The sequence below is a fragment of the Homo sapiens genome, chromosome 14, assembly GCF_000001405.40.
Source record: "Homo sapiens chromosome 14, GRCh38.p14 Primary Assembly".
Classification (NCBI taxonomy): domain Eukaryota; kingdom Metazoa; phylum Chordata; class Mammalia; order Primates; family Hominidae; genus Homo; species Homo sapiens.
In genome coordinates this window covers 45802645-45813252 of record NC_000014.9, presented here as the reverse complement: position 1 = coordinate 45813252, position 10608 = coordinate 45802645, and the positions used below count along the sequence as shown (strand labels likewise).

The following is a 10608-nucleotide window of genomic DNA, read 5'->3' as shown; positions in this document are numbered from 1 at the left end:
TGCAATATTGGGAGTAATATCATCCTCTCCTTCCCTGAAAATTACGAACAATATCACAGGGGGGTGTATACCTTCTGCGATACTGGGAGTTGTATCTTCCTCTCCCACCCGCTGCTTTTGTATTTTATAGGGGCAGGATTTTTTTGTAGGGGCAGCCAATCAACCCTGAGCTGAAATTGTACAATGATTGTGAATATGATGAAGAACAAAATGCAGATCTTACAGGTGTAATCTTTAAAGAGACACCTTTAAAAGGAGCAGAACAACAAAATGTTAAAAGAGAGTTAGGGATGATAACTACCTGTACTCTCTTTCAGATTCTAGAATGATGTTTGGTTCATATTAGCTAACAAAAATAAAATTAAATCTTAAAATTTTTAAAAAAGTTTGCTTTATGTAGTATTTCTTTCTCTCATTTTAGGGCTGTAGTTAATTGTTGTCTATCTTAAAGAAAACCTCAGGGGCCGGGCGCGGTGGCTCACGCCTGTAATCCCAGCACTTTGGGAGGCCGAGGCGGGTGGATCAGGAGGTCAGGAAATCAAGATCATCCTGGCTAACATGGTGAAACCCCGTCTCCACTAAAAATACAAAAAAATGAGCCAGGTGGGGTGGCGGGCGCCTGTAGTCCCAGCTACTGGGGAGGCTGAGGCAGGAGAATGCGTGAACCCGGGAGGCGGACCTTGCAGTGAGCTGAGATCACGCGACTGCACTACAGCCTGGGCGACAGAGCGAGACTCTGTCTCAAAAAGAAAAAAAAGAAAACCTCAGAAAATTCTAAAGTCAATTTACATTTATCATTAAAAAACACGTTAGTTATTACTGAGATAAATTTTCAAAATGTACATTAAATAAACAAATAATCACATTAGTGTATGTAATCTAAACCTAAAATAGGAGCCTAGATGTAGAAGACAAGAGACACTAGAACAATATTTAAAATTAGCCATCAAGGACCCAGGCACTTACAAAAATAATTAGCTGATGTGATAAGCCCTGTTTCAAAAACAAAGTCAACAAACATCTAGACCAGGAGTGCTCTGGTCTCACTAGGAGTAAATTCACAGGTCTGAATCTCTCCATTGGATAAATAAATAAATAAATAAATAAATAAATAAATAAATAAATAGAGCTTTCACTCTAAGAAATATCAAAAGCATGAAAATTTACTTTTTCTTGTTTCTCCTAATGTCTTCTACAAGTCTACACGTACAGGAGCTTAGAAGAGAGCCCGGCACATAGCGCGTGCCCAAGAAATGTTGTTTACAATTATTATATCTTCAAAATGCAAATGAATCAAAAATCTAGATTCTGCAAATGCACAGAAATTGAGAGGCCAGAGAGAGAAAGGAGTGGGTAAGCATTTAATTATATAGTTAGCTCGATGAACACTGTTAACTTTCTCTCTCAAAAAGTCAGATGGAATCTATAAAGTAGCTTGACATACAGAAATCCAAGATTTGATACTTTTTGTTCTTCTCTCCAACTATAACTATTTAAATAAATGAAATAGAATAAATATCATCATAGATCACCAACAAATTTTTGTATTTTTTGTTGTTAATGAGGAAAACTTCCCTTGGGATAAACCATTATTTGAAACAGAAAGAACTTGAATTCCACCACAGGTTAGGAGATGAAAATTATTTGCATTGTATGTGGGTTGCTAAGAAGGAAGCATCAAATTAAATTTTCTACCAAATTCATATTTGCTGGGTTAGTTCCTTTTCTCTCCTATGGTGGCTATAAAATCCATGCTAATTACCCATCAACCTCACAGGGATGAAGCCAGGAGTAAATGGCAAGGAAGCAGCTGGAAACCTCTGAGTACTGCATATAAATGGGGACAGGAGATTACCCCCACTTGATCTGGCAAGACTGGGCCAAAGCCCTGGGCCAAACCCTTGCATCCCCAAGAGACTGCCAACAGGAGCACCAGCTGCACTTTAAAGCAGAAAGTCTAGAACAAGAGCCCTCTGGGAGCAGACAAAGTGTGTAACCGCAAAAAGTAATATTCAGCCTACCAGGGAGTAGCCGTTTCCCAGGATCAACAGAAGGCTAAGAGGTTCCAAATTTCTTGTGAAAGCAGGTAATTTAGCCACAGATTTTTGTCTATCATGGTATTCTTTGACGTTTTTTCTTCCAACATTAGCAGTCACAAATAACATATTGAATGCTTATTATGTAATTGTCATTCTTCATTCATCGTCTGATTTAATTCTCATAACAATTCTGTGAGATAGTTGTTTTTATTATTCCTTGTTTATAGAAGTAATGGAGACTGGAGAGATTAAGTAACTTGCCCAGGGACTTGTAAGGTGGAAAGCAAACTGCAGACATAGAATTATCTCAAGAATTTTCTTTCATAATCATGATGGTTCCAAGATTTTCCATGACTTTCATTTAATTCCCAAATATTTCATTATTATCTTCTTGCCTTTCTTTCTTAGTTACTATCTGCTCTCTGACTACTACAAGGATAGAGCACATATGCGTGTGTGCATGCACACACACACACACCATGCAACTATTAACCAGTTCCAACCTTGGGCTGTGTTAATGCCAGGGAAGCACCCTAAGGGGGCAGTAATTTCCTGTCTCAACTTAGAAAGATGTGAGCCATGGTTCTCTCTATTCAATATGCATAACCTAAAGAGAAATTTCAGAATGTGCCCACTGGGAAAGGAAAGACTTTTTGAGTTTACTCTGAAGGCCTTGGCAAAAATCCAAATATTTGAATTTATTTTGTTTCTCTTCTGAGACTGTGAAATGCTTTTAAGTGTCTGCTAAATTTTGCTCTAATATATAGCAGTAGGGAGGTGCTTCATCTCCCTGGAGTCACTGGAAAAGCTCACAGAAGCGAGTTTAAGAAACAAACCTGAAAAGTGGTACAAGTCAAGCCTGTCTCTCCTCAGAGGCATCTGCAGGCTGTAAAGTGTGCTGACAGGAAATTCAGCTACCCACACGACTTTACAGCAGCTACTCAAACCAGTTTTACATTTATCCTGTGACCAGAGAGGAAGAGGAAAGTAAAAAACATTAAATGTCCTTTGCTTGGCCTCTCATACTGTTTCAAAGCATGAATGCTTGTAAAGTTGTTTAGATATCAAAGCAGACAATATGTGCTGGGTTTTATCTTGAAGGAAAAAAGAAAAATAATGTTTTGGGAATAGAGAATCTTCCAACAAATATATCTCCCATTAATGGTTTTAACTCTGGAGAAATGTTAGTCCTTATAGGATCATCAAATAATCATAAAGTGAAAATACATACTTAGATGAACAAAGACTGAAATTCATCTGTTTCACTTTTTTTAAACAAAGGGCTCCTAACAGTTCTCAGTCAGCTGTTACAATGTTTAATCATAATTTGGGCAAAAATAAAAATCTCCCTTTCTAAATGAATTCTTCTCTTGCTTCATATTAAGCCCACTACTTGTCTTTCAATCCCAGTGGAGATAGATGATAATTGGACACAATCTTTTTCACAATTCCCTTTCAATAGCTTGAAAACAGTTATGAATCTTCATCTTAATTTTTTAAACCCTCAGTATATTGACTCTCTTATAATTCATTGTCAAAATGTCCATTACTATATTTCCTCTTGATTCTCTCACTTCTCTAGAAATATACTAAAACACAAAGACCAATATTAGAGCAATTTCCTAATAAAAGTTTGAATACAAATAAATATCCTATAATACTTGTTTCTAGCTCTCTAATATCAACTACTTCTAATAGCTTTTAAAAGTAAACACTGTTAATCACTTATTGATTTTGAATTTATGATTCTGGTAAAGTGACTTACTTGTTCTACCTAGTTTGGGATAGTTTCTTTGGACATTTTATATCAGGATAAATTAAAAATATCTGTTATATGAAATTATACTGCTCCCTAAAGGTTAATATCAAATTGACTAAATATCTCTTCAATTTATGACATGACACATGGAATTTTACACATTTTCCCCAAGGTATTAGGAACTTAACCAAAATAGTGTCATCAATAATTGGATAGGAACAACATCAATTCAATCATCTGGAGAATTATAAAAGCTCAGATGAGGAAGAGCCCTTTAGAGGCAACCTAGTACAAACTTCCCACTCTGAAATGAAAATGAAAGAACAACAGATGAAATATCTTGATCAGCTCTTAGTGATCCAGGCCTGATCCCCAGGCTCGGTTCTTCCCATGTAGTATCCCTTCCGCTCTGTTCCACAGCCAATTCTCATTCAGAACACCAGAAAAATATGCTGTTATGGTTTGTTCTATGTTATTTTTCCTGCTTTTCAGCCACAGAAACACCTTTGTCCTTTCCCTGACTCTCTTTCTTCACCTAGGTAACCACTGTCCATTAATTAATTCAGCAAATATCCATTGAGTTACTCAATGAATTCCAAGAGTATTGCCAAACCAAAGAGTAATACAATAAATTGATGCAAGTGTAATAAAAATATATGCTAAGGAGTTCTCAGACCCTTTTACCCTTTTCACACAGGGCTAAGTTCACAGGCCTGAAAATCAAGATGTCCAAGGTAGGGATAGGTAAAGCAAGAAAAGACTGGAGATACTGTCTAAGGAAGAGGGCTGTTACTGAGGATAAGTGGATTAAAAAGCCTGGATTAAAATATGTCAAATAAGAGAACTGTAGAGCTTGGTTATGTGGCATCAAAGAGAAGTCTAGTCCATTTAACAGTTCCTGATTGTTTCTGGATTAAAAAAAGGAAATTTTGTTTCTTAATTTCCTTTCTATTATCTATGTCACATCTTAGGCTAATTAATGCAAAACAATATAACTAAGTTATACAACTTATGAAATAGATGCATGTCACACCTAAGGAATTATCCATAAGATATATAAGCTTTGATCCACCAAGAAACTATTCATTCAATGACTATGTATTTTGTATCTATACAAAATTTTCTGTTCTTTCTAGTACCAAATGTGATCATTATAATAATTCTGTTACTTTTATTACATTCATCAGTCACATGTGACATTCCTGACTATAGAGTTCTTTCTACAAGTGTAATTTACTAATATCTACTAACAATCTCACTAAAAACAGCAGTTGTTCAAGGAAAACATTGCCCTTTATAATACATGTACAGACATCTAGGAATACATCAGACATGTGCATGTTCAAGTATGTATTACAAATAAGTCATGGGGTCATGAAACTTGGCAAGGTGATTTATTTTTATTTATAATGCTATGTAGAAGACATATTTCTAATTGTTGTCACAACTTGAAATATGTACTTCTTATTTTTGTGTTATCACATAGTTTATCAATTACTATCAAGCACAGGATATCTTGAACCTTTCATATATTATTGAAATATTTTCCTAGTTGCAAACACTGTGTGTATTGGAAACAGCATGGGGCAAACTGCCGCTTTTAAACCATCAGATCTCATGAGAACTCACTTACTATCATGAGAACAGCATAGGGGAAATTGTCCCCATGATCCAGTCACCTCCCACCAGATCCCTCCCCCAACACATGGAGATTACAATTCCAGATGAAATTTGGGTGGGAACACAGAGCCAAACCATATCAGTGTGCTAAAAATAGATGATGACATCCATGTAAGACACCTTCATTTTCAGTTCATCTCTCTTCAAATAATTTGTCACCCTTTATAACATGTGAACAACTAGATTGAATACTGAGAGAGAATATACAAAGGAGGCTTTACTCTGTACCTCACTATTATTATAGCTTGATTCAATGTAGAATTTTCTACAAACAAAACCCTAGAATTAGAGAGACAGTGAATTTCCAAATCATCGTGTCATTGTCCAGAGCCACTACCGAGGCACCAGAATAGGAAGTGAGTGGTTCTGATCCCTGAAGCATGATTAATGATCCTGATGTCACTGGCTATCTTTCAGCATGCAGTGGCCACATACTGCAACGCAGAGGCTATAAAAAGTGCTCTGCAGATATGCATTACCTCAGTTCATCCTTCCACAGACCCTGAAATGCAAGTAAAATGTAAGGCTGAAATTGGCAGATTAGTTCCATGCCTGTATAGTAATCTCAGCACCGGCTTGAGACACAGGCTACTCTGAAAACAATCTATGCTAACCTCAGGCCCAGCTCTCTCTTTTGGTAGTGAGTATAATGAAGTAACAGGAGCTCTTGAAAAGTTCATTCTTCAGAAAAATGACTTTCATTGCCTATGTGCTTGTCACTATGTTAAGTGTAACACATAATTTTTTTTACTTACTTTTACAATGATCCCATTAAGAATTGAATTCTTATTAACATTTTACAGATAATGAATAAGAGTCAAAAAGTAAAATAACTTTAATAAGGACAAATGTAAGAGCCAAGATTCAAGCCCCAGTCTGTCTGTGTTTCTGTGTTTTTTTCCATAGCATCACAATGCTACAAATAAAAGGTTTAATGCTGTGAAATAGTATTTGTTTTCAAAACTGCAATATAAAAAATAAGTGTTTTAATTTTTTGCAAAGTTATATAATAGTAGTATTTTTTGGAATTGTATGTGTACCCAAAACATTTTTTTTCTTTTTGAGAGCATGCCACTCAAATAAGAAACTATTCCATCTCAGTTAACTTATGTGGGAAAAATAAAAAACACACATTTCAATGAAATGATGAAAGGAAAAAGAGAGTAGTGTTTTTAATTTATGAAGACATGAGTACTACCAATTGTTTAGTTATCAACCTAAACAATTCTGGAAAATAGAATTTATGAAGTTTACTTTCCCTTAAAACAAAAATAAACGGTCAAGTAAATAGATGTAATATAGGGGAGTTAGTATCCTTCCCCTACCCTCCCTGTAGAATCATACACATTAACACATCTTTACTCATTGTGAACCCTTTTCAGAGACAAAAAAGACACAGAAATCTGAACCAAGAGGCAGGCCTGTATTGAGATAAATGTCATGTCAACTGATCTGAAACTACTGGAAACACTAGCTTAGGAGAATGTGAATAAAATGGTAAACATTCCACTGAAATAATCATAAAATTTATAAATCAATATACATTAAGAACATAATAACTTACATAAAACCAAAGTGAAAAAAAAAAAACACAGAGAGGCTGCTTAGTTAATCATCGCATTATTTTTCCTGAGTATTGACATCGTACCCAGAATAAGGTAAACTTTAAAACCACATACAAAGAACATGACCTGGATCTTCAATCCTTTTACAATCTAATCTCCAGGCTTTCAACACAAGGATATCAAAATATATGATCACAAAATATTTAGTTTAATTCCTTCAATGCACTCAGTGTGGGTACTGTATTAGTCTGCATGGCCTGCCATAACATAATAGCACAGACTGGGTGGTTTAAACAACAGAAATTTTTCTCATAGTTCTGGAGGTTAGAAGTCCAAGATCAAGGGACCCTCAGAAGTGGTTTCTGGTGTGGCTTCTCTTCCTGGTTTGTAGACAGCCACCATGTCAGGGAGGGAGCCCTCTGATATCCCTTCTTCTTTTTATAAGTACATCAGTCCTGTTGGATGAGGACTCCACCCATATAAGCTTATTCAACGTGAATTTTTTCCTTAAAAACCCTATCTCCAACTACAGTCACATTTTAGGTTAGGGCTTCAACCTATGAATTTTGAAGACACAGTTCTGTCCTTGACGGGCATCCAATTCCATGTGAACAAGAAATTTCAGTTATATAAAATAATACTCGCCAGATTATTTAGTCAAAATACAGCAAGGAGCCAAAGAGGTTTTGGGGGAGTCTAAAAATACTAAGCACAGTGCATTGAACTAGTCAGGTAAATGTCAGTATTAATTGCCTTGACATATAGTATAATATACTAAAATAATTGTTCCTAAGAGTACTTTTGAGGTACACCTACACCCTCAGGGACAGAACATTTAATGAAAAGTTCAATAATTACTTCTGGTCAACTTATCAACCATGATTATTCACAGAAAGCAACTTTTGATCTCTCTGACCCCTGCACTGGTTAAAGTTGTAGCTCACCCAAAATTGTGTGCACCACCATTCTGCTATGGATCAGAAACCATGTACATATAACAAGCCTGAGTTCTCAGTGAGGTGACTTTAAGACTGTTGTAGGCACTGACTCCATGTAAAGCCTGAAAAGATAATATCTGACTGTTGTGTCTTTATTTTGCTTCTTTAGAATATTTTCTTTATCATAATAAAAGCCCTACCATGAAAACAATAACATTTGTATAATAAAAAATGTGTTTCCTGAAGCATTAAGAACAAATCCATGGACAGCCAAATAACCCATCACAACTCTCACTAATGTGAGTAACTGTGGAAAACAATCCCAAAGAGAAAAAAAGTTTTAGTTCATGTTGCTTTTCCAAAATTGATACTCCAAACCACTTGAGCATCACTGGTGCTTTAAGCATGTCTTTTCATTTCACTTGAACATTTAGAATATTCCAAACATTGTTATAATTAGTTTTTAAAATGAGACCAGGAATTAATTAGAAATTTAATCATTATTTCAAGATAGCTTAGTTATTATTTTTTTACCTTTTAGGTAATGCTTATAATTAACTTTTTCTGCTTCCCTTTCATGAAATATTTTATAAGTTAGCAGGACATTTTTTAAAAACAGACTTCTGTTCTAATATTACTATGCTAAACTAATTACAATATGAATTTATTTCATAATTATTTACCATTTTTATTCATCCTCAGGGTACTGAATTATAATTAATTCCACTTCTCTTTCTCTAATAGATTTATGTGTATTATCATATATATTAAATTTTCAGTTCTGTATTTTTTTCATTTTATTGCTTTGCACACTGACAATGTGCACTTCATTAAAAACATGTAATCCCTTAGCTGCGATCAAGGCATAATCGCAAATCTTTATAAGATAATAACATGTATGTTCACATTTTATTACAAGAGCCCCCTATTCTACTTGAAAATTCTGGCGTTCCTATCTTCTTAAACTGTAATATGAGAATAGGATTTAAGAATCTCATGCAAAACTAATAATAAGCACATTTGTCCATTTTTTCACCTCCTGCTAGTTCTGTTACTCTATTTATTTTTGTCAATGTGATATTTAGACTAATTTAAATAATTAACACAATATACGGAAGGACTCCAATTTTTTTTCTCCAAAAGTGATGAACATTTTGTGATAGATAAAGCAATAACAATCTGCTGTTAAGTTAGGTTCTTTGACCCAGTCCAACTTTCCAGAAGATGTTTTAATACAAATAAGTCAAGACACAAGTTTAGACTTGAGAAATTCAAAGTGCAAAATTCAGTGCAGGAATGAATAGTTGGACAGTTAAGTCCTTTTCTCAGGTAATAAATACTTCACAATTGCTATTATCCTCTCCTTTGTCCCTCACAAATTTTGATAACATTCTCCTAATTTGTCCAGACACACAGTCCCTTTGGGAGCTCTCAGGATAGCAGTACCATACAAATTTGACAGGTTTTTGTTTTGTTTTATTTTGTTTTGTTTTGTATCAGCATGGCAGGGGGTTGGGAGATGGTGGTGATGGTGAGCAAGGGGTATCAGATGGTGAGGGAGGTGGTGAGGGAGGGAGGTGGTGGTGAGGGAGGGTTGGTGAGGGTGGGATATGGTGGTGGTGGTGAGGGAGGGGTATCAGAGGTTATAGAGGACAACTAACTAAAAGCATTCTGCCAAAGTTTGCTGGAATTTGCAGTGAAAAGTAATCTTTGTGTAGTCAGGTCACACATAAACTGCTTAGGACCATAATCCAAAAAATAAGACCAGGAAAATAAATTGGATTTGTAAAGTTGTACTTTCTGCCAAGTAAGTGATAACTAGGTTTGCTAAAAATTATTTTCTCCTGTTTAGAGCCTGTTCTGCTCTGTTTGCACAGATTAACTTCTTTACCCAAACCTAAGTCCAAAGGTAAACTAAAGAGTAAAAATACTCAAAATAGTCAACAACTCAATATTTCTGAGATTTTTAAAAAACAACCCCTGAAAGGTAAACTTCCTCAAGTTTAGAACACTTTTGCTTTCTTCAATGTTCTTGTAATCTAAAATGAGACTTTTGGGTAGGCACTTCCTCCTATCTTCTTACACTCTTGACTGTCAACCCTCTTACTGTCTCAGTTCTTTCCCACTCTTTCTCTGTCCTTCTTGTACATTTGATGTATAAAGTTTCTTGTTCCTGCTAAATCTATTAAATTAGGACACTAAACTCTTTGGGTCTTGAACTATCCAATTCTTTTGAGCTTCATGAAGGCAGAGGTCTTATCTGTTGCTTGTACCAACATCATTTCCAGAATGTAGCAGTAATATAAATAAAAATGTAATGGTCCTACAATCTCAACTATAACTTAGCTTCTACATATAAACATAGAGGGTCCAGTTTTGCAAAGCACTTACAGAAGCTTAGATAGCATTCTCTCTGGGACATCTCGCCTGAAAGTTCAATATATATTTGTCAAATGCATGAAAAAAAATACAGTAGCTCCTATTGTATGGTGACAATGCCTCCAGCAAAACAGTACAAGAACTATGCGGTGGAAATGAGATTATATCTAGAACTGGGTCTGCATCCCTACTTTGCCGAAGAACCCAAAGTTAGAACCTGTGATAGGGAGAATAATGGCCCCCTAAAG

At 35.4% G+C, this 10608-nt stretch overlaps 1 annotated feature.

Annotated features, from left to right (window-relative positions):
• Window positions 1548-2177: an enhancer, noted in NCBI's record as "OCT4-NANOG hESC enhancer chr14:46280279-46280908 (GRCh37/hg19 assembly coordinates)". NCBI's record gives its function as "activates a minimal SCP1, AML or CMV promoter by ChIP-STARR-seq in primed H9 embryonic stem cells {active_cell/tissue: H9 hESC(primed)}" and the evidence as "EXISTENCE:reporter gene assay evidence [ECO:0000049][PMID:30033119]".